We start from the raw sequence: 24,626 nt of genomic DNA on the forward strand, positions 1-24,626 counted from the left end.
GGTGAGGGAAGATGAAACTTGAGGTGGTGCCAATGGGACGGAAAGAGGAGGCAGATTGGAGAAATAGTGAGGTTATAGAGGCAATAAGACTTGTTCATTTATTGGATGTGAGGAAAGGACAAGGAAGGAGTCCAGGATGATTTCCAGGTTTCTGGTTGAGGCAACTGGATGGGTGGTAAGGAACTGGGACAGGGAATAGAGGAGCAGGCTGGTGACAGGCCGTAGAGCACATTGGTTATGTGCATCCTCCCGGCCTCCCAGAAGGAATCCATCACTTTTTCCACTTTTATAGGTGTTTCCGCACTGTCTTTCTGTCCGGATCTGGCAGACCTGGGTTTGAGTCCTGGCTCTGGACTTATAAGCTGTGTGATGTTGAGCATATTATGTAATTTGAGCCTATTTCCTCAACTGTAAAATGGAAATACAACTTACTTCTTGTTTGTGTATGTCTGAATTGAATGCACAGTGTGTGGTATGCAGTGGGCACTCCATAGTGTTGGCTATTTTTATTACTCAGAAAGGGGTCAGGGAAGAGGCCCAGGACAAATGGGTGAAGGCTTTAAGCAAGGCTTCTAGGTCAAAAGAGGAAAAACACAACATGTGGCAGACCAGCTGAAGCCAGAGGGAGGCCAGAGCTGAGCTACCACCACATGTTGCTGAGCAGATGAGTCACTGCAGGCAGCAGGTCAGGCTACCCAGGCCACAGCAGACTGGGCTGGGCTCTACACGATGACTTCATTGTATGCCTTTTTTGTCCTCTCCTCCTCCCAGAAGGAATCCATCACTTTTTCCACTTTTATAGGCGTTTCCACACTGTCTTACTGTCCGGAAAGAGCAAACACGGTGGAAAGGGACAGAAGAGCCAGAATTCCGTCTAGTTTGATCACTGATTTGCTGGGTGACCTGGTGCATTTCACTTCGCCTCAGTCTCTTTATCTGTAATATGAGAATGCGCAGATTTGCCTCCTAAGTGTGATGTGAGAATTAGGTGAGAGTTGGCAGGCACTAAATAAAAAAGCATGCATTAGCCTTCTATTCATTAGTTGTGTTATTCTGTCTCCTTCCTGCTCCCGGCCCCTCTCTCCCTAGTTCTTTGAGGACACCGATCGACTCGAACTCATTTTTGGGTCCCCAGCACTGAGCTTGGCCCAGCAGTTTCATGAATGGATGAATGAAAGATTCAATGGGAGTCCGCAGCCGCTGACGGCGCGCCGAGAGCCCCGCTCGCTTCTGGTCCTCCGACTGCGCGCCAGGGCCACGGGCGGGTCCTTTGCGACCGTTCGCTGGCGCGTGCGCGGGAGGCGGCGCGCGGCCGGAGGTGGCGGGCGGGCTCCCGGTGCGCGCGCGTGAGGGGCGGGGCCGGCCGAAGGCTGGCTGTAGGCAGGCGGCTGAGCCGGCGGCGGGTGGCCTGCCCAACGTGTGCTGGGTGGGAGAAGGCGAGGCGTCAGCGATGCTGTCTCTTCCGTGAGGAGCGCAGAGGAGGTCGCGGCGCCGGAGGCCCCAGAAGGCTCGAAGGCGCCGCGGGCTGGGGTCGGTGGCTTAGGGAGCCCGTCCGGCCATGGTGGCCGCGGGTGGTGGTTGGCGCGGCTGCGCTGCGGCCCGGGGCAGTGCGGAGCCGGGACAGTCGCGGCGCTGACGCCCGCGGGCCCCAGCTGCAGATATGAAGCGGAGCCGCTGCCGCGACCGACCGCAGCCGCCGCCGCCCGACCGCCGGGAGGATGGAGTTCAGCGGGCAGCGGAGCTGTCTCAGTCTTTGCCGCCGCGCCGGCGAGCGCCGCCCGGGAGGCAGCGGCTGGAGGAGCGGACGGGCCCCGCGGGGCCCGAGGGCAAGGAGCAGGTAGGGCGGGTTGGGATCCGGGAGGGTGAACCTGAATGGAAGCCGTGGGGGAGGGGATCTTCGGCGGGAGGACCCGGGCTGGAGCTTTGGAGGGGTGGGGTCTGAGTAGTTCGCGGGGAGGAGTGGGAGGTCTGGGGAGGCCGAGAAATGGGGAGTGGAGAAATGGAAGTGGTGGCCTGGGGTTGTATTGGAAATGGGGGTGTAGAAGAATGAAAAATTGGTGCAAGAGATAGTCAGGGGTTCTGGATGGGGCGAAAGGACGCTGGAATGTGGGCTGAGTGTGTGAGCTGCAACGAGTAGGCTTACTAAAGAGGCGTTGAGGAGTTATCCATAGGAGTAAATAGAGTAAGATGTAAGTCAATTTGATGTAGTGTTATCCTGTTTTCTAGAGGTTGTCCTTAAAATTGTAAAAACGGATGACACTCCCAAGCATTCTCTGATTTGGCCATCATTATACTTTTGTACCAGTGTGTTCACAATCATTGTTAAGGCTCTCTTTACCAACCATCTATTTCACAAGAAAGCACTTGTGAAACACCTGCATGTGAGCAGTGTTAAGCCCAATTTTGTGAACAGAATTCGTAGATATATGGTTTGCCTGCTAGTTTTCCACTGAAAACACATTACTGGGAAAACACAGCAGCATACAAATATTCATGGAGTTTCTGAATGAACAGGATATGTTTATGTAATTTATTAGTCAAGAGTAGGTGTATTTATGAGTAGGGGATAAAGGTCAGTTTTATCAGGCAGGAGAAGCTGCCACTAGTAGCGGTAATAAGTTTAGTGAAAGGAGAATAAGTAATCCTTGGTCTTGTTGGATTTACAGAAAAATGTTCTGTAGTAATGAACTCTAGTGACAGCTTTCCTTTTGTTCAGCTCTATTCGGGATCCTACTGACTTCATCCATGAATGTTTTAAGACTTCTTATAGGTCTCTTACCTCTTTTCTCTCAGATAAATTAGCATTTTCCTTAGACATTTTTTTTTTTTTTTGAGACGAAGTCTCGCTCTGTCGCCCAGGGGAGAGTGCAGTGGCATTATTTCGGCTCACTGCAACCTCCACCTCCTGGGTTCAGCGATTCTCCTGCCTCAGCCTCCCGGCTAGCTGGGATTACAGGTGCCTACCACCATGTCCAGCTAATTTTTTTGTATTTTTAGCAGAGACAGGGTTTCACCATGTTGGCCAGGCTGGTCTGGAACTCTGACCTCAGGTAATCGGGATTACAGGCATGAGCCAGTGTGCCCGGCCCTTTAGACAGTTTAAAAATTATATACCATGCTAGGTAGCCCTTGGACTTTTCCCCCCTTTTGTTCTTCCACCTCTTATTCCCCACTGAGCCCTGAGGAGACTGCACCATTGACCATCTCTGCCCCGCTTCTAGCTGCTGAGCATTGTCCTCTTGCTGCAATTTACTCCCCCATGTGCCTAATACTTATCTTTTACATTCTCTGCAGTATCATCTAGTCAAAACTTGTACAATGAACTTCAAGTCCAGGTCCTTTCCTGTCTCAGTTTACCTGTCCAGTTGACCTTACTGCGTATTTCATGGTAGAGTTCAAGATTACTTGATTTTTCCCTCCTCTTTATTTTATGATTTTTGTGTTTTCTCATCCTTAGCTTCAGTCTCAGAGAAAAGTACTCATCCTCCTCTCCGAGGCTAATTTCTCTACTTATGTCCTTGATTTCATCCTCTTTTGTTTGCCTTAGACCCTTGTTACTCTCTTTGTTTTATATCACAAATAAAAACAAAACAACATAATTTCCCTGAATTGTGTAACCTACCCAAACTACTTTGTTATCTCTTCTTTGCTTCCCCAACAACCTTCTTGAAAAATGAGTTTGTATTCAGTGTCTTAGCTTCCTCACCTTGTATACATTTCTAATATGGTTTGGCTTCTTCACTTATGCTTTCCCAAAACTGATGTCTTTAAGGTCACCGAAAGCTTTTTTTGTGTGGGATTACTTTTTTATTGAGGTTTGACAAATCAAAGGTTCATTCAGTCCATGAAATATTACAGAATGAGTACCTGTATGATCACAACTCACATCAGGATGGAGAACATTCCCAGTACCCTAGAATGCTCCCTGTGCTTTCTCCTAGCACTACTCTTTTACAGATGTAACCTCCCTCACCACCTCTGTCACTATAGATTTGTTTTGAACTAATACTTCATATAAATGGAATCATAGTGTGTACTGTTTTGTGACCAGATTCTTTCATTCGGATCATGTCTTGAGACTCATCCATGTTGTTGCTTGTAGAAACAGTTCTTTTTCATTGCTGTGTAATTTTCCATTGTATGAATGTATTGTGATGGTTACTAAAACTTATTTTTGTTTTTGAGACAGGATCTCACTCTGTCACCCACGCTGGAGTGTAGTGGTGCCGTCATAGCTCACGGCAGCCTTGAACTCCCAGGCTCAAGTGATCCTCCTGCCTCAGCCTCCCAAGTAGCTGGGACCATAGGCACATACCACCATGCCCAGCTAATTTTTTAATTTCTTTTTCTTTTTCTTTTTGAGACAGAGTCTTGCTCTCTCGCCCAGGCTGGAGTGCAGCGGCACATTCTCAGCTCACTGCAACCTCTGCCTCCCGGATTCAAGCGATTCTCTTGCCTCAGCCTCCCGAGTAGCTGGGATTACAGGCATGCACCACCATGCCTGGCTAATTCTCTATTTTTAGTGGAGATGGGGTTTCACCATGTTGGCCAGGCTAGTCACGAGCTCCTAACCTCAGATGATCTGCCCGCCTTGGCCTCCCAAAGTGCTGGGATTACAGGCGTGAACTACCACGGCCTAATTTTTTATTTTTTGTAGAGGTGGTATCTTACCATGTTGCTCAGGCTAGCCTCGAACTCCTGGGCTCAAGTGATTCTCCCACCTTGACCTCCCAAAGTGCTGGGATTATGGGCATGAGTGCCCAGTTTGTTTTTCAAATTGAAATATAATTCATGGCTACTTGTGAAAAGTTTTCATTGTGAAATAGTTACAGAGAGAAATATGTAAAAGTCCTGGGAACCTTTAAATTACTAAATCTGATAGTCTTTTCCTCATCTTGTCTGACCTCTGTGAACTATTTGTCACTGTTGACTGTGTGTTCCTTGTTGACATTTTTTTCTTTTTTAATATTATAATATCCATTCTGTTACTGCTTCTCTAACTGCTCTCTTGTGTGTCTTTGTCTTGTGTTTTCTCTTCCTGTTCCTGAAATGTTCCTTGAGGACATGTCCTCTGTCCTTAGCTTGATCCTTTATTGTGCTCTATTTAGCAGGCTCATTCTGTTTGTAGATGTTGAGGATGTAGAACAAGGGTCTGCAGTCCTCTTTATTTATGGCATTGTGTCACAGAACATCCTTGTAAAGTGAGCTGAGTCTCTTTAGGTGTGACCTCTTTCCTTAGCTCTACATTTCCATTTTTGTGCTTAACATTTCCACCGTAGACTCATCATTTGTGTTCTTAACATTTGTGATTTTTTTTTTTTTTTGAGACAGGGTCTCACTTTGTTGCCCAGGCTGGAGTGCAGTGGTGGGACCTCAGCTCACTGCAACCTTCGCCTCCCAGGCTCAAGTGATTCTCCAGCTTCAGCCTCCCCAGTAGCTGGGATTGCAGGCGTCCGCCACCACGCCTGGCTAATTTTTGTATTTTTAGTAGAGACGGGGTTTCACCATGTTGGCCAGGCTGATCTCGAACTCCTGACCTCAGGTGATCCACCCACCTCGGCCTCCCAAAGTGCTGGGATTACAGGTGTGAGCCACTGTGCCCGGCCTAACATTTGTGAGTTTTATAATTTGATAGTGACCTTGAAAGTTCATAATTTGTAATAATTTATGATTTTAAAAAGGCCAAAATTTTCATTGTATGTGTCGAGACTGGTTGAATTCTATTTATTTGGGTAGTAAGAGCCCAGCTGATCAGCAAGCATCTACATCTCACACGTAACTTTTTTTTCCCTTTCTCATGACATGGAACAGTGCTTGTTACAGTTTTTATTATACTAGTATTTAAGAATACGTTCTAATCAGGATGTAGGACTTGGATCTCCAGAAGGTCAGTGGTTTACTGTATCATGAAAATAGAATAATTTCTGTGTTGAAATGTGCTTCTCTCTGTATCTTTCCTTTTTGTCATCCAACATGAAATTATATCCATGGCTTTTTTTGTTTGTTTTATTTTGAGATGGAGTCTTGCTCTGTCGCCCAGGCTGGAGTGCAGTGGCGCGATCTCGGCTTATTGTAACCTCTGCCTCCCAGGTTCAAGCGTTTCTCCTGTCTCAGCCTCCTGAGTAGCGCATGCCTGGCTAATTTTTTGTATTTAGTAGAGATGGGGTTTCACTGTGTTGCCCAGGCTGGTCTCGAACTCCTGAGCTCAGGCAATCCACCCGCCTTGGCCTCCCAAAGTATTAGGATTACAGGCGTGAGCCACCGTGCCTGGCCCACATCTGTAGTCTTTTACTTCTTCTCCTTTGACTCCCTTAGCCAGTCTGGCATTAGGTTCTCTCGATTCTGCCTTCATGAAATCTTTCAAACCATTATTCCCATTGTCACTACCTTAATTTCATATTTATAAACTTTAGTCTTGGTTGTTGCAGTATCTTAACTGTATTTACTCAGTCTTCAGTCTCTTAACCTCTAATATATTTCACGTTCTATTAACAAAAGATTGGAACTCATTGCCTCCCTGGCTAATGGTAAGTGCTTTATAAATACTCGTTAAATGTTCATTTCATTTCTCCTTATTCATATACCTTCATTAGCTTCTTATTACCCATAGAATTAAGCCTGAAGACCTTGGCATTCAAGATCTACTTGATACTTAGCACTTTTTGTTAGAAGAGTCAGTTAGTTGCCACTTCTCTTGGTTCCTTAGGACCGTCTGCTTTTCTCGATCATGGCATACAATATTAAAATTATCTTGTTTCTCTCATTAGTAAGTTCTTTGAGAGTCAGACTGTTCCATTTACTTCTGTATACCTAGGGCTTAGTATAGTACTTGAAACATAGTTATTTGTGTATTTATTAGAAACATAGATATTTGCTCAATGTCCTAATTGATTGTAAGTCAGTCAAATGAATTCCTCTGAGGCTGTCTTAATCATCATGGTATCTTCAGCCTCTAGTATTTTAACTGGTATGTAATAGACATTCAGTAAGTAATTGTTTATTGTTAGGCACTTTGATATACTTTAATTAGTCATCAGTTTGAGAAGCTCTTTATTCTCTGCTTCCGCATATTAAAATTCTACTCAGTTTTCCAGGCCTAACTCAAATGCCACAGAAACTTCTGTGAGGCCAGGTGTGGTGGCTCATACTTGTAATCCCAGCACTTTGGGAGGTTGAGCAGGCGGGTTGCTTGAGCTCAGGAGTTTGAGACCAGACTGAGCAACATGGTGAAACCCCATCTCTACAAAAAATACAAAAATTAGTCGGGGTTGGTGGTGCGCGCCTGTGGGCCCAGCTACTTGGGAGGCTGAGGTGGGACCCCTGGAAGTTGAGGCTGCAGTGAGCCAAGGTTGTACCACTGCACTCCAGTCTGGGTGACAGAATGAGACCGTGTCTCGTAAAGAAAGCAAAAAACAAACAAACAAAAAACAAAAACAAAACCACACACCCAAAAAGAAACTCTTCTGCAAAGTTGTTTTTCCACATGGGATCCTAGGAGGATCCTTAATTGGGCTTCAGGAAATCTGTGAATGTCCTGAAATTCCAGTTCTCAAAATTCTGTGGTTTAAAAGTGAAAGCTTAGGTTCCAAGAGATCAAATGCAAAAATGACTGGAAAGCACATAATAAGTAGGTGCTTAATAAGTAGTCTTATCTCATTTTGTTTCTGTAACATATTGTTTGATCCATTCCTGGTCATATAAAGTAGATGCTGAATAAATATTTGCTGAATGAAAGGATGAATCAGTGTTTTAGCACTTTCAACTTTCTGTGTTCATTTGTATTTCATTTTTGCTTTTAAGTTGCATGTTATTGAAGGTAAGAACTATGTCATCATTTTGTCTAACAATGCAGAGCTAAAGGCTTTGCTCACAATAGGTGCTCAGTCATTATTTATTGAATGAATGAATGGAGAATGATTCAAATATTTTGAATTTTGGTAATTTGAGTAATAATGGTTATATGATAGGAGTAGACAAAGGAAATAGAATATTTTTGAGGATGGCAGAAGATGAGTTCAACTTTAGTTCCTAAAATACCCTCAGTGTGACAGAAATTTTAAAAAATTATTTTAATGGAAATCAGAACCTCTTTCCTCTGCATTACAGGGTTAGTACATTGGGAAAAGCATAGGGCAGAAAGCACACAGAAGGGAAGCTGCGTAATATATATAGGGAACTATAATCGGTTTGTTATTGCCAGACCCAGAGCTTTACGTTGAAGGTGTAAATGCTAGGTTAGAGATTAAAGAAGCCTTGATTGTTGAGGGTCTTTAGTGTGATATAAAAGGATAATTGGCTGGGTGTGGTGGCTCACGCCTGTAATCCCAGCACTTTGGGAGACCAAGGTGGGTGGATCACCTAAGGTTAGGAGTTTGAGACCAGCCTGGCCAACATGATGAAACCCCATCTCTACTAAAAATACAAAAATAGCCAGGCGTCTTGGTGGGCGCCTGTAATCCCAGCTACTTGGGAGGCTGAGGCAGGAGAATTGCTTGAACCCGGGAGGTGGAGGTTGCGGTGAGCCAAGATCGCGCCACGGTACTCCATCCTGGGCGACAGAGCGAGACTCCATCTCAAAAAAAAAAAAAAAAAAAGGATAATAAGTAGGGGAGCAGTATATTCTTTTTTTTTTTTTTTGAGGCAGTCTTGCTCTGTGGCCCAGGCTGGAGTGCAGTGGCACGATCTCAGCTCACCGCAACTTCCACCTCCCAGGTTCAAGCTATTCTCCTGCCTCAGCCTCCCAAGTAGCTGGGATTACAGGCATTGGCCACCATGCCTGGCTAATTTTGTATTTTAGTAGAGACGGAGTTTTTCCATGTTGGTCAGGCTGGTCTCAAACTCCCGACCTCAAGTGATCCACCTGGCTCGGCCTCTCAAAGTGTTGGGATTACAGGCGTGGGCCACCGTGCCTAGCCGAGAGCAGTATATTTCTTTTTTTTTTTTTTTTTGAGACGAAGTCTCGCTCTTGTCTCCCAGGCTGGAGTGCGATGGCACGATCTCGGCTCACTGCAGCCTCCCCCTGTGGGGTTCAAGCAATTCTCCTGCCTCAGCCTCTCGAGTACCTGGGATGCCACCACGCCCAGCTAATTTTTGTATTTTTGTATTTTTTTTTTTTTTTTTTGAGACGGAGTCACGCTCTGTCGCCCAGACTCGAGTGCAGTGGCGCGATCTCGGCTCACTGCAAGCTCCGCCTCCCGGGTTCGCGCCATTCTCTTGCCTCAGCCTCTGGAGTAGCTGGGACTACAGGCGCCCACCACCACGCTCGGCTAATTTTTTTGTATTTTTAGTAGAGACGGGGTTTCACTATGTTAGTCAGGATGGTCTCGATCTCCTGACCTCGTGATCTGCCCTCCTTGGCCTCCCAAAGTGCTGGGATTATAGGCGTGAGCCACCGCACCCGGCTTTTTTTTTTTTTTGACACAGAGTCTCACTTTGTCACCCAGGCTGGAGTGCAGTGGCCTGATCTTGGCTCACTGCAAGCTCTGCCTCCCGGGTTCCCGCCGTTCTCCTGCCTCAGCCTCCCGAATAGCTGGGACTACAGGCGCCCGCCACCACGCCCAGCTAATTTTTTTGTATTTTTAGTAGAGACGGGGTTTCACTGTGTTAGCCAGGATGGTCTTGATCTCCTGACCTCGTGATCCGCCTGTCTCGGCCTCCCAAAGTGCTAGGATTACAGGCGTGAGCCACTGCGCCTGGCCTAATTTTTGTATTTTTAGTAAAGATGGGGTTTCACCATGTTGGCCAGGCTGGTCTGGACCTCCTGACCTCAGGTGATCTGCCCGCCTTGGCCTCCCAAAATGCTGGAATTACAGGTGTGAGCCACCGCGCGCGGCACAGGAGCAGTATATTCTTATTTGTGTTTTAGTTGGATTACTCTGGCAACTGTGTGGAGGATAGGATGCAGGACATGCTGTTTGAGACATGAGCATTTGAGAAATCTTCCGAGTTTTCAGTGCAAAAGTTTATTTGACCTCCTTTCCCTCTTATCCAGGGTATGGGTAAGGGCTAGCTCCTAAAAAGGTGTTAACTTTGAAATATTTAGTTTCATCAAAAGTACTGGGAGCAGAGAGTCTATGGTGGCTTGAAGCAGGTTGGCAAATGTTCCCTGATGAGGGTAGGACACATGTGATTACAGAGTTTTCCCATCATTGTTCTGGATGTCTCTTGGCCTAAAGATCAATCTGTAAGCCTTTTTTTTTTTTTTTTTTTTTAGACGGAGTCTCGCACTGTTGCCCGGGCTGGAGTACAGTGGTACCATCTTGGCTCACTGCAACCTCCGCCTCCCAGGTTCAAGTGATTCTCCTGCCTCAGCCTCCCAGTAGCTGGGATTACAGGCATGTGCCACCACGCCTGGGTAATTTTGTATTTTTAGTAGAGACTAGGTTTCTCCATGTTGGTCAGGCTGTCTCAAACTCTCGACCTCAGGTGATCCGTCCACCTCGGCCTCCCAAAGTGCTGGGATTACAAGCATCGGCCACTGTGCCTGGCCCTACTCCTATTTTTAATAGTCCGTGTAACATTTTCATTTGGATAGCTCAGAGACCTCTCAAACTTAACATGTCCAAAAATGAAGTCTTGATTTTCACTTTCTAGTCTGCTTCTTCCCCAGTCTGCCTCATGTCAATAGATGGCACTACTCATTTACCAGAACAAAACTGGAGGTTGTGTTTGATTTTTTTCTTAACCTTACCTGTATTCCACATTCAGCCCCTCAGGTCTGTTTGCTGCTACAGTTGTCCCTCAATATCTCTCGGGGATTGAGTACATGACCCCCTGCAGATACCAAACTCTGGTATGCTCAAGTTCTATCTATAAAATGGCATAGTATTTGCATGTAACCTATGTATATCCTCCCATGTACTTTAAATCATCTCCAGATTATTTATAATATATAATACAATGTAAATGCTATGTAAATAACTGTTACACTCTATTACTTAGGGAATAGTGACAAGAAAAAAATATCTATACATGTTCAGTATAGATGGAACTATTCATTTTCTTTTTCTCTGCATACAGTCATGTTCCGCATAATTATGTTTTAGTCAATGATGGATGACATACAAGATGGGGGTCCCATAAGATTATTATTATTATTATCATTTTTTTTTTGAGACCGAGTCTTGCTCTGTTGCTCAGGCTGGAGTGCAGTGGTGCGATCTCAGCTCACTGGAACCTCTGCCTCCTGGGTTCAAGCAATTCTCCTGCCTCAGCCTCCCAAGTAACTAGGATTACAGGCAGCCGCCACCACGCCTGGCCAATTTTTTTTTTTTTTTTTTTGAGACGAAGTTTTGCTCTTGTCCCCCAGTCTGGAGTGCAGTGGCACGATCTTGGCTCACTGCAACCTCTGCCTTCCGGATTCAAACAATTCTTCTGCCTCAGCCTCCCGAGTAGCTGGGATTACAGGCTTCTGCCACCACACCTGGCTAATTTTTATATTTTTAGTAGAGACAGTGTTTCACCATGTTGGCCAGGCTGGTCTCGAACTTCTGACGTCAGGTGAGCCGCCCACCTCGGCCTCCCAAAGTACTGGGATTATAGGCATGAACCACTGCGCCTGGCCAGATTATAATTTTTTTATTAAAATTTTTTTTTAAATAGAGATGAAGTCTTGCTATGTTGCCCAGGCTGGTCTTGAGCTCTTGGCCTCAAGCAATCCTTCTGCCTTGGCCTTCCAAAATGTTGGGATTATAAGCATGAACTATTATGCCTGGCTTCCCATAAGATTATAACAGAGTTGAAAAATTTCTATTGCCTAGTGACATCTAGCTATTACAACATTGTAGTGCAACACATTACATGTTCATGGTAATGCCTGTGTAAAACCTACTGCACTGCTGTGGTATAAAGGTACAGCACATAGAGTTAGTGCATGCACAGCACATAATACCTAATGATGATAATATACAACTATGTTACTTGCTTATGTATTTACCATACTATACTTTCTACTGTTATTTTAGAGTGTACCCCTACTTATTAAAAAAAAAAGTTAACTGTAAAACAGCCTCAGACAAGTCCTTCAGTGTAATTCCAGGGAAGGCATTGTTACCATAGGAGATGACAGCTCCATGTCACCTCCATTATTGCTCCATTATTGCCCCTGAATACCTTCCCATGGAACAAGATGTGGAGGTGGAAGACAGTGATATTGATGATCTCGACCCTGTGTAGGCCTAGGCTAGTGCGTATGTTTGTATCTTACTTTCTAACAAAACAGTTTAAAAAGTAAAAAAAGAAAATTTTTTTAATAGAAGAAAGCTTATATAATAAGGATAATGAAAGAAAATATTTTGTATAATGTAAACACATACACCAAGGCGGGTGTATCACCTGAGGTCAGGAGTTTGAGACCAGCCTGGCAAACATGGCAAAACCCCGTCACTACTAAAAATACAAAAATTAGCCCAGCGTGGTGGCGCACGCCTATAGTTCCAGCTACTTGGGAGGCTGAGGCAGGAGAATTGCTTGAACCCGGGAGTTGGAGGTTGCAGTGAGCCAAGATCACGCCATTGCACTCCAGCCTGGGCGACAAGAGCGAAACTCTATCTCAAAAATAAAAAGAAAAAGCTATCTTGACCTTTGATTTGTTGGTGTTATTAAACTGTTCTTTTATTTTATTCAGCTTGAAAGGAGACTTTAATTTGTGCATTTTCCCCTTCAGGGAAACTTTTATGGATTTTTTTATTAAGTAACTGGCTTAGAAGATAGAATAGTCTCCCTAGGTTTTAGAATGTAATTAAGAAAAATTCAGCCCAAGGGAACCATGTGTTAAAATTAGGTGATACCATCTTAGTTGTACCAGCTTGAGTGTAGGTTCCTTAAGAGTGAACCTGAGTAGTAGATGCATATATCCTTTAACCATTAATTTGTTGGAGATTAATAAGCTACATCGTTTCTTTGCCGTTATTTCAGCAAAGCAGAAGTAATATAGTTTTGTCAGATCTTCTTTTTTTTTTTTTTTGAAACTGTCTCCCAGTCTGGAGTGCAATGGCGTGATCTCGGTTCACTGCAACCTCTGCCTCCCAGGTTCAAGTGATTCTCCTGTCTCAGCCTCCTGAGTAGCTAGGACTACAGGCACATGCCATCACACCCAGCTAATTTTTATGTTTTTAGTAGAGATGGGGTTTCACCATGTTGGGCAGGCTAGTCTTGAACTCCTGACCTCAGGTGATCCACCCTCCTCAGCCTCCCTAAGTGCTGGGATTACAGGTGTGAGCCACCGTGACTGGTCAGACTTTCTATCTGTTAGGCTTTCAGGAATGTTTTGAAAAGCAGAGGATTTAGAAATAGTTGTTAATAGTTTTTTTTTAAAGTCCTTAAGTTATTTCATAGGGGTGTTACCAAGGTGATTTTTGTTTAAATGACCCAGGAACATTTAAGTTCTACCTTTAACCAGTAAGAGAAAGTGATACTTTGTGACTAGCTCAGTCTTTGGTCTTTTATATTAAAGAACATTACTTGCTGTAACTGATTCACAAGGACCCCTTGATTGAGGTGCTTCCATTTTCTACACATGGCTTCCAAGTTCAGCTGAGGAAAGTGGAGGATGGGCCAATCCTAGAAATGGATTAATCACTTCCACTCATATTCCATTGCCAGAACTCAGTTTCAGGGCCATGCCTAACTACTGGAGGGCTGGGAAATGTCATGTGGCCTGTGCCTAGGAGGAAGGTGAATCATGCTTGATCAACATCTAACTAGTCCCTGCCACAGGACTCAAACCCCAATGTAGTCCTTAGCTTAGAACCATACAGAAATCCATTTATTTTGGTTATAGACAGCCTGGAACCATAGCCTCCTCTTTTTCCTTGTAGACACACAGAGTTTTGAGTTATAACAATTTTGAATGCAAGTAAAGGCCTTTTTCCCAAGCACAGATAGGAGATCTGGAAAAGCTTTTCTGCAGCCTGTGGCAGAGGTAGTCTCTGGCAACCCCAAGAAAGGCAGCTTGGTATTGGGGGTGGGGGGGAGAGAGAGAGAGAAAGAGAGAGAGAGAGAGAGAGAGACCCAAGTCCCTTCAAATACCTGGAAAGTCTTCCCAAGAATAACAGATGCAAACAAGCCCAGATCGCAAAGGCTACAATGTATATTTAACTCTTCAATGCCCAGACACTGACAAATACCCACAAGCGTTAAGACCATTCAGGAAAACATGACATCACCAAACAAACTACGTAAGGCACCAGGGACCAATCCTGGAGAGATAGAGATACATGACCTTTCAGACAGAGAATTCAAAATACCCATTTTGAGGAAATTCAGAGAAATACAGGATAACACAGATAAGGAAATCAGAATCCCCTAAGGTAACTTCAGCAAAGAAATGGAAATAATTAAAAAGAACCAAGCTGAAATTTTGGAGTTGAAAAATGCAGTTGATATACTAAGGAATGCATCAGAGTCCTTTAATAGCAGAACTGATTAAGCAGAAGAAAGAATTTATTTATTTATTTATTTTTTGAGATGGAGTCTCGCTCTGTTGCCCAGGCTGTAGTGCAGTGGCGTAATGGCTCCCTGCAACCTCTGCCTCCCAGGTTCAAGCGATTCTCCTGGCTCAGCCTCCCAAGTAGCTGGGATTACAGGTGTGTGCCACCACACCTGGCTAATTTTTTTGTTTTTTAGTAGAGACGGGGTTTCACCGTGTCAACCAGGATGGTCTCGATCTCCTGACCTCGTGATCCACCTGCCTCGGCTTCCCAAAGTGTTGGGATTACAGGCGTGAGCCACAGTGCCTGGCCCCAGAAGAAAGAATTAGTGAGCTCGAAGACAGGCTATTTGAAAATACACAGCCAGAGGAGACAAAAGAAGAAAAAGATAAAAAGGAATAAAAAGCATGCCTACAAGATCTAGAAAATAGCCTCCAAAAGGCAAATCTAAGCGTTTTGGCCTTAAAGAGGAGGTAGAGAGATAGGGGTAGAAAGTTTATCGAAATGAATAACAACAGAGAACTTCCCAAACTTAGAGAAAGATTTCTATATTCAAGTATAAGGTTCTAGAATGCCAAGCAGATTTAGCCCAAAGAAGACTATCTCAAGGCATTTAATAATCAAACTTCTAAAGGTAAAAGATGAAGGATCCTAAAAGCAGTAAGAGAAAAAACACAAATAACATACAATGGAGCTTCAATATGTCTGGGACCAGACTTTTCAGTGGAAACCCCTTACAGGCCAAGAGAGAGAGGCATGACATATTTAAAGTGCTGAAGGAAAAAACTTCTACCCTAGAATAGTATATCTGGTGAAAATATTCTTCAAACATGAAGGAGAAATAACGACTTCATAAGACAGAGAAGTCGAGTAATTTCATCAACACCAGACCTGTCCCACACAAATGCTAAAGGGAGTTCTTCAATCTGAAAGAAAAGGATGTTAATGAGCAATAAGAAATCATCTGAAGGTACAAAACTGACTGGTAATAGTAAGTACACAGAAAAACACAGAATACTATATTAATAACAATAATTATGGTGTATAAACGACTCATATCATGAAAAGATGAATTGATCAAGAATAATAACTACAACAACTTTTCCAGACATAGTATGGTATTAGGTTGTTGCAAAAGTAATTGTGGTTTTGGACTGTGAATTTTAAATCATTATAACTAGGCTCAAACACATCTTTATTAATCAAAATAGGAACCATTACAATCAACACATTTTCGCCAATGAGAAATGTTTGTTCTTGTTGTGTAAAAATCCATGCTTTGGGATTTGACGAACTCTTGGAAAGAATGTTCTGCATCCTGCTGGTCATGGAAATGTTTTCTCTGCAAAACGTTGTCGAGATGCTTGAAGAAGTGGTAGTTGGTTGGTGAGAGGTTAGGTGAATATGGCGGGAGGGAAAACTTCATAGCCCAATTCGTTCACTTGTTGAAGCTTGGTTGTGTGATGTGCAGTTGGGTGTTGTTGTGGAGAATTGGGTCCTTTTTGTTGACCAATGCTGGTGTCAGGCGTTGCAGTTTTTGGTGCATCTCATTAAGATTGCTGAGCATACTTCTCAGATGTTATGCTTTCACTGGGGTTCAGAAAGCTGTAGTGGATCAGACTGACAGCAGACCACCAAACAGTGACCGTGACCTTTATTTGATGCAAGTTTGGCTTTGGGAAGTGCTTTGGAGCTTCTTCTCAGTCCAGCCACTGAGCTGGTTGTCACAGGTTGTCATATAAAGTCCACTTTTCCTTGCATGTCACAGTGTGATCGAGAAGTGGTTCATTGTTCTGTAGAATAAGAGAAGATGACACTTCAAAATGATGATTATTTGATTTTCACTCAGCTCATGAGGCACCCACTTAACGAGCTTTTTCACCTTTTCGATTTGCTTCAAATGCTGAATGACTGTAGGATGGTCGATGTTGAGTTCTTCGGCAACTTCTTGTGTAGTTCTAAGAGATGATTGCTCACAATTGGTCGTTGTGAACTTCCGATGGTCGGCCACTACACTCCTCACCTTCAAGGCTTGCCTCCTTTGCAAAACTTTTTGAACCACCACTGCACTGTACAGTTGTTAGCAGTTCCTCTCCAAATGCATTGTTGATGTTGTGAGTTGTCTCCTTTGCTTTACGACCCATTTTGAACTTATTCAAAAATTGCTCATATTTGCTTTTTATCTAACTTCATTCCCATAGTCTAAAACATAAACAGCAAGTAAATAAGTCTCTAGCCAAAAAACATAAAAAATGAACATTAAAATGATGTATAATATAATGACATTTATTTAAGAATGTATTCCAAGACCGGGCATAGTGGCTCATGCCTGTAATCCCAGCACTTTGGGAGGCTGAGGTGGGTGGATCACCAGAGTTCAGGAGTTCGAGACCAGCCTGACCAACATGGTGAAACCTTGTCTCTACTAAAAATACAAACTTAGCCAGGCATGGTGGCACACACCTGTAATCCCAGCTACTTGGGAGGCTGAGGCAGGAGAATCGCTTGAACCCAGGAGGCAGAGGTTGCAGTGAGCCGAGATCATGCCATTGCACTCCAGACTGGGCAACAAGAGCAAAGTCTGTCTCAAAAAAAAAAAAAAAAAGAATGTATTCCAATATCAGATGACAAATTCTAATCATGCAAACCACCGCAATTACGTTTGTACCAACCTAGTAGTACTGGAAGTCTTAACTATGGTAATTAGACAAGAAAAAGAAATAAAGGGTATCCAAATTGGAAAAGAAGTCAAATTATCCTTGTTTGCAGATGATTTGATCTTATATTTGGCAAAAGCTTAAAGACTTCACCAAAAAACTATTAGAACTGATAAATTTAGTAAAGTTGCAGGATCCAAAGTCAACACACAGAGATCAGTAGTGTTTCTGTATGCCAACAGTGAACAATCTGAAAAAATCAAAAAAGTAACCCCATTTACAGTAGCTGCAAATAAAATACCTAGGGATTAACCAAAGAGATGAAAGATCTCTCTAATGAAAACTATTAAACACTGATGCAAGAAATTGAAGAGGACATTAAAAAAATGAAAAGATATTTCATGTTCATGGATTGGAAAAATCACTATTAAAATGTCCATAGTACCCAAAGCAATCTACAGATTCAATACAATCCATATTCAAAATACCAATGACATTCTCCACAAAAATAGAAAAAACAATTCTAAAATTTACGTGGAACCACAGAGGACTCAGAATAGCCAAAGCTATCTTCAACATAAAGAAGAAAACTGGAGAAATGACATTACCTGACTTGAAATGATACTAGAAAGCTATGGTAACCAAAACAACATGGTACTGACATAAAAACAAACAGAGACCAATAGAACGGAATAGAGAACCCATTAATAAATCCATACATTTACAGTGAACTGGTTTTTGACAGAGGTGCCAAGAACATACTTTGGTAAAAGGACAGTCTGTACAATAAATGGTTCTCGGAAAACTGGAAATCTATATGCAGATATCTACATGCAGAAGAGTGAAACTAGATCCCTATCTCTTCCCATATACAAAAATCAAAAATGTATTAAAGATTTAAATCTTAAACTGCAAACTCTGAAACTACTAAAAGAAAACTTTGGGGAAACTTGCTAGGACATTGGTTTGGGCAAAAATTTCTTGAGCAATAAATACCCCACATGCAGAGGCAACCAAAGCAAAACTGGATCAAGGGGATCTTTTCTCACTTCCTTTTGTGTGTGTTTTTTAGAATTTTTTTTTGGTTGCTATGGGGATTACATGTAACATACTAAATTTATAACAGTCTAGTTTGAAATGGTACCAGTTTAACTTCTGTAGTATACAAAAACTTTATTCCTGTATAGCTCCATTTCCTTGATAAGTTGTTTTTGTGGCAGATTACATCTTTATTCATTGTGTGCTAAATATCATAGATTTATAATTTTTTAATGCTTTTGTCTTTTAAGTCATATAGGGAAAAAAGGTGGAGCTGAAAAACAAAAATAGAATAATACTGGCTGTGATATTTGTCCATATGGTTACCTTTGCTGGGGATCTTTATTTTTTATTTTTTGGATCTTCATTTTTTCAGATGGCCTTAAGTTTCTGTTTAGTGTCCTTTCATTTCAACTTGAAGATGCCTTTTAGGATTTGATGTAGAACATATGTAGTGGTGATGGACTCTGTCTGCTTTTTTTTTTTTTTTTCTTAATCTGAAAATGCCTCGATTTCAATTTCTCTTTCTTTCTCTTTTTTTTTTTTTTTTTTTTTTTTGAGTCAGAGTCTTGCTCTGTTTCCCGGGCTGGAGTGTAGTGGTGCAATCTTGGCTCACTGCAGTGTTGACCTCCTGGGCTCAAGCAATTTTCTTGCCTCATCCTCCTGAGTAGCTGGGACCACAGGTACATGTCACCATGCCCAGCTAACTTTTATGTGTTTTGCAGAGACAGAGTTTCGCCATGTTGCCCAGGCTGATCTCAAACTCCTGGGCTCAAGCAATCTCCCTACCTTGGCCTCCCAGAGTGTTGGGATTACAGGTGTGAGCCACTGCACCCAGCCTTTATTTTTTCCTCATTTTTGAAGGACAGTTATGCTCAAGATAGAATTCCGTATGTCATCCTACTCACTTCTGGACTCCACAGTTCTGATGAGATATGAGCTGTTCGTCTGATTCAGGATCTCCTGTATTTGACAAGTTGCTTTTCTCTTGCTGCTTTGAATATTATTTCTTTGCCATTGGCTTTGACAGTTTGGTTATCATGTGTCTCCATATGAACCTTTTTGAATTTAACCTGCTTAGAAGTCACGGAGCTTCTTGGATGTGTAGATTTGTATCTGTCATCACATTTGGGAAGTTTTGGTATGTTATTTCTTCTTTTTTTTTTTTTTTTTTTTTTTGAGACAGAGTCTCGTTCTGTTACCCAGGCTGAAGTGCAGGGCAGGATCTTGGCTCGCTGCAACCTCTGCCTCTTGGGTTCAAGTCATAACTGTGCCTCAGCCTCCCGAGTAGCTGGAACTACAGGCATGCACCACCACGCCAGCTGATTTTTGTATTTTTATTAGAGACGGGGTTTCACCATGTTGGCCAGGCTGGTCTCAAACTCCTAACCTCATGATCTGCCCGCCTTGGCCTCTCAAAGTGCTGGGATTACAGGCGTGAGCCATGGTGCCCGGCCTCTTCACATGTTCTTACTGCCCCCTTCTCTTCTAGAATTCCCATATTCATATATTGTTTCACCTTCACCTTTTTTTTTTTTTTTTTTTTGGTGACAGAGTGTTGCTCTGTCACCCAGCCTGGAGTGCAGTGGTGTGATTTCTGCTCACTGCAACCTCCACCTCCCAGGTTCACGCGATTCCTGTGCCTCAGCCTCCCAAGTAGCTGGGATTACAGGCACGTGCCATCACGCCCAGCTAATTTTTGTATTTTTAGTAGAGATGGGGTTTTGCCATGTTGGCCAGGCTGGTCTTGAACTCCTGACCTCAAATGATCCACCCACCTCAGCCTCCCAAAGTTCTGGGATTACAGGCATGAGCCACCGTGCCTGGCTATTTTCAGTGTTTTAATCTTGATGCTGCTTAGTGGGTCTGTTCAATTTGTGAAAATTCATTGAGTTCTATGCTTAGGTATGTGTACTTTTCTAAAATGAGTAATGTACTTCAGTAAAAGTTAAAAATCCTAGCTTAAAAGTTCAAATTTCATATTTAATTTATATTTCCTTTCCTTTGCCAGGTTTTGACTCGAAGAGACTTGCAGTAAGAAGGGGTGTGATCCTCTCTTTCTTTTCTCCTCTCCTCTGTTATCTGGTTTCTTTACTTTGGTGTCTTGTGGGAAGGAATAGGGAAATTGAAAAGTGTATGTGTTTCTCTTAATTGGTACTGATCAAATTCTTTCTTGATTGTTCTTTCTCTGGCTAAGACGGATTATTCATCCATACAGTGTAGCAGGCATCCAAATGCTGGTTCTCCCATGCAGCTGGTTGTAAGTTTTTTTGAGATAGGATCTTTCCCTCTCCACATTGTCTTCATAGAGGATATCCACTTTAGCTTGATGTCTTCCAAGGCCTCCTCAGTTCTCTCTACCTAGAGCTTCTTGCTGTGCTTGTCACCTTTGTGAGTGGCCAACCCTCTTTAATGGATTACCAGCATTAGTCCAAAGTCTGCTTCCTTCCCTGGTTTCTCCTTGATCCATAGGTACTGTTTCATCCTTGACATGCCAAATAGTGCAAATACAAGCTGTTCCCTTGCTACCTTCTGTTTTTGCATTAAGTTCTATTTCCTGTTCCCCGTCTCACTGCTCAGTCCTGCTACAGTTAGGTGCCTGGACACATCAATTGTTTGATTCAGTGCCACAATATCCTCCTTTATCCTTTTATTCACTTACCACCATGTTTTGAAATTGTCTTTTTCTTCTTTTCAGGTATTTTTCTTCACCAACTTCACTCTTCTTTTTATGTTTGGGCATTTGTAAATCATGTTTTGGATAGTCACCACCAACCAATATTAGTACTTACCCATTTTTTTGAACTCACTAATCACAATATATAACTGTATAGAATTTTTTTCTTTTTTTTTTTTTTAATCTTAGAGAACTGGAAATTTCCTCCTTTTTTGCCCCTTGTGGCTTTTAGTATTGCTATGGTGCCAGTTACTTGAAGCTTGTTTTTCAAATGGCAGGTGACATGGGGTCAGTTATTCTCTTTTTTTTTTTTTTTTGAGACGGAGTCTCGCTCTGTTGCTCAGGCTGGAGTGCAGTGACATGATCTTGGATCACTGCAACCTCTGCCTCCTGGGTTCAAGCAATTCTCTGTCTCAGCCTCCCGAGTAAGCCGGGGTTACAGGTGCCTGCCACCACGCCTGGCTAATTTTTGTATTTTTAGTAGAGACAGGGTTTCATCATCTTGACCAGGCTGGTCTTGAACTCCCGACCTCATGATCCACCTGCCTCAGACTCCTAAAGTGCTGGGATTACAGGTGTGAGCTACTGTACCCGGCCCAGTTATTCTCTAATGGTTCTTGTCTCTGTACTGTCTAGATCAGTTTGATGTGTTACTTATCTGTATTTGTTACAGCTTCCTTCATTGACATATAATAGATATACCTCATCGGGCTGATTTTTTTCGAAAGTTTCTTATTTATTATAATACTCCTGATTAGGTGGGTGTTGGCTTAAAAATGTCTACATGTTGATGATATTATTGGACACTGCTTACTGAATGAGGAGAAAGAGGTGTTGGAGTGGAATGGGAAGGTTCTGTCAATGTTTTGTATTGCCTGTATTTTCTGATAGTACTTTTATACTTTGAAAACCTGTATTTAGCTCCTCTTATAGGCATATAAAGAAAGCTCTAATATTAATTTTAGCATTAATTGAATGTTAGAGATATTTCTGACTTTATATGCCAGGTAAAGTCTACCATTTAATGATTTTTTTTAAACTAAAATATGCTTTTCTTTATTGGATATAGGAAGGGTATGAATAAAAGGATAAACATAAATAAACTTAACTAAGAAGTGTACTCATTATGAATACTATATCCTGTCAAAATGTCTGTCATCCCATGACCTTTCTCACCTATTTTTCCTTTGGCATTTTAATAATCAATATCCTGTGTCCTTTACAGCATACCTAGCTTTTACTAAGAAATATGTTTCTGGTTTTAGCTATGGAGGGGGAAGTATAATATTTTGGCACTTTTAAATTGTAGTGAATGCTGTAGAGATGTTTAATATAAAGTTTTTATACTTCAGAGGAGATATTAAAGACTCATGTTTTACTCTTTTTCTCTTTGAAGGATGTAGTAACTGGAGTTAGTCCCCTGCTCTTCAGGAAACTCAGTAATCCTGACATATTTTCATCCACTGGAAAAGTTAAACTTCAGCGACAACTGAGTCAGGATGATTGTAAGTTATGGAGAGGAAACCTGGCCAGCTCTCTATCGGGTAAATATCTGATTTTGTTGTTTTAAGAAATGTGGGACCATGTGGTCAATATTTAAGTGTATATTAATTGAATTGGCATCTTGACAGTTTCTTCTCTGGTAGTAGTCTTGTATAGAACATTTATGGTAAGGCTGTCTTCCTCTCCTTACTTCTTCCTCATGGAATCTCTGATTGCTAACCTGTAGGACCTGATAGATATTTCTTGGTTGATCACCACTAGTGGTCACTCTCTCTTACTCTGATTTTTGCTCTCTGCCTATTTCTGTAAACTTTATATTCTTTGCTTCTGTAGATTTTCTTTTTTCCTTCATTCTCAAAACCTAAAACTCATAGTGGCCTCTACCGCCTTCAAAGAAAAGACTTAAAAAATTCAGGGGGAAAAAATTATACGAAGAAGTCACAGTACAAAAGGAAGCAATTACATTGTACATTGTGGCATAATTCTTTTCTTTCCTTTTTTTTTGAGATGGAGTTTCGCTCCGTAGCCCAGGCTGGAGTGCAGTGGTGTGATCTCGGCTCACTGCAAGCTCCGCCTCCCGGATTCATGCCATTCTCCTGCCTCAGCCTCCCGAGTAGCTGGGACTACAGGCATCCGCCACCATGCCTGTCTAATTTTTTGTATTTTTAGTAGAGACGGGGTTTCACTGTGTTAGCCAGGATGGTCTCGATCTCCTGAGCTTGTGATCCGCCTGCCTCAGCCTCCCATAGTGCTGGGATTACAGGCGTGAGCCACCGCGCCCAGCCTCTTATATTTAAATTTTTATTTTTGCTGGTCATATATTTAGTTACATAGAGCCATTTCTTGTTTGGTTTTTCATAACATTCTCCTCTTTTTTTAAAAGGATGCGATTATCTTCTCTTTTTTTTTTTGAGACAGAGTCTCACTTTACTGCCCAGGCTGGAGTTTAGTGGCATGATGTCTGCTCACTGCAACCTCTACCTCCCAGGTTCAAGTGATTCTCCTGCTTCAGCCTCCTGAGTAGCTGGGATCACAGGTGCGCACCACCATGCCTGGCTAATTTTTTTATTTTTGGTAGAGACAGGGTTTCACCATGTTGGCCAGGCTGCTCTTGAACTCCTCACTTCAGGTGATCCGCCTGCCTTGGCCTCCCAAAGTGCTGGGATTACATATGGGAGGTGAGCCACCACGCCTGCCTGGGATGTGATTATCTTCTGATTGTCATGAGTAAATTAGATTTTTTATTTAAAAATGTGGCTGGGTGTGGTGGCTCACGCCCGTAATCACAGCACTTTGGGAGACCAAGGCAGGCAGATCACCTGAGGTCAGGAGTTCAAGACCAGCCTGGCCAACATGGCAAAACCCCGTCTCTACTAAAAATACAAAGATTAGCCGGGCATGGTGATATGTGTCTGTGATCCCAGCCACTCCGGAGGCTGAGGCACAAGAATCGCTTGAACCTGGGAGGTGGAGGCTGAGTGAGCATCATTACACTCCAGCTGGGGCGACAGAGCGAAACTCTGTCTCCAAAACAAAGCCAAACAAAAAAAAAGTAAAGTTTTCTTACCTGGATCAGCTCTTTCTTTTGAGCATCTAACAACCAGAATATTCAGTGTTTTGTTCTAAAATGCTAAATCCCTTTTATCCTGTGAGGTAATTGCATGGCTGCCGGGTACATTGTTGAAATGTGGTTGTGTTTGACTGTTCTTTCTATGGAATTTTCCATTTATCTGATTGCAGCTCGTGTCTTACTTTATGACTTTTGGGGTGCTTTTCATTTCTGAGTGCTTAGTCTAAGAGTTTGCAGGGCAGATGATACCTCACTTTTTTTTGAGACAGGGTCTCCTCTGTCGCCCAGGCTGGAGTGCAGTGGTGTGATCTCAGCTCACTGCAACCTCTGCCTTCTGGGCTCAAGTGATCCTCCCACCTCAGTCTCTTAAGTAGGTAGGACTACAGGTGTGCACCACCACACCCAGCTAATTTTTGTATTTTTAGTAGAGAGGGGGTTTCGCCATGTTGCCCAGGCTAGTCTTGAACTCCTGAGCTCAAGCAGTCCTTCCTTGGCCTCCCAAAGAGCTGGGATTATAGACCTGAGCAACCAGGCCAGGCCAGATACTCCACTTAATTGCAATCCCCTCCATGCTTACTATAGCTTATACCTTTCTTTGCCCAGTTGCATTGGTTACAGTCCATCTATCTGCTTTAGATTTCCCCACAGTTTTTTCACCCCCTCATTATCAGTGTCTGGCTGTTTCTGTCATTATGGCCTTTGTTTGCTTACTTTTTATTTTTATTTATTTATTTATTTTTGACGGAGTCTTA

At 42.8% G+C, this 24,626-nt stretch overlaps 1 protein-coding gene across 23 annotated transcripts in view, besides 2 other annotated features; it reads left to right on the plus strand.

Moving 5' to 3' along the window:
• Positions 1,205-1,644: a silencer, noted in NCBI's record as "silent region_835". NCBI's record gives its function as "represses an Ori minimal core promoter by ATAC-STARR-seq in GM12878 lymphoblastoid cells {active_cell/tissue: GM12878}" and the evidence as "EXISTENCE:reporter gene assay evidence [ECO:0000049][PMID:35858748]".
• MAST2 (microtubule associated serine/threonine kinase 2) overlaps positions 1,377-24,626 on the plus strand; it is a 232,511-nt gene continuing 209,261 nt past the window's right edge. For 15 of the 23 annotated variants that reach the window (XM_011541059.3, XM_011541069.3, XM_011541061.3 and 12 more), the window contains exons 1-2: positions 1,377-1,837; positions 22,198-22,345. In XM_011541059.3, coding sequence (XP_011539361.1) covers positions 1,661-1,837; positions 22,198-22,345 — 325 coding nt within the window. In that variant the 5' untranslated portion in view covers positions 1,377-1,660. Of the gene's footprint in view, positions 1,838-10,213; positions 10,355-10,712; positions 10,793-22,197; positions 22,346-24,626 lie in introns of those variants that run through there. The other 8 variants (XM_047450105.1, XM_047450121.1, XM_047450123.1 and 5 more) reach the window with 4 other exon arrangements.
• Positions 20,209-20,409: a silencer, noted in NCBI's record as "peak201 fragment used in MPRA reporter construct". NCBI's record gives its function as "represses an SCP1 promoter by STARR-seq MPRAs in K562 erythroleukemia cells {active_cell/tissue: K562}" and the evidence as "EXISTENCE:reporter gene assay evidence [ECO:0000049][PMID:32103011]".

The sequence above is a fragment of the Homo sapiens genome, chromosome 1 (assembly GCF_000001405.40).
Source record: "Homo sapiens chromosome 1, GRCh38.p14 Primary Assembly".
Classification (NCBI taxonomy): domain Eukaryota; kingdom Metazoa; phylum Chordata; class Mammalia; order Primates; family Hominidae; genus Homo; species Homo sapiens.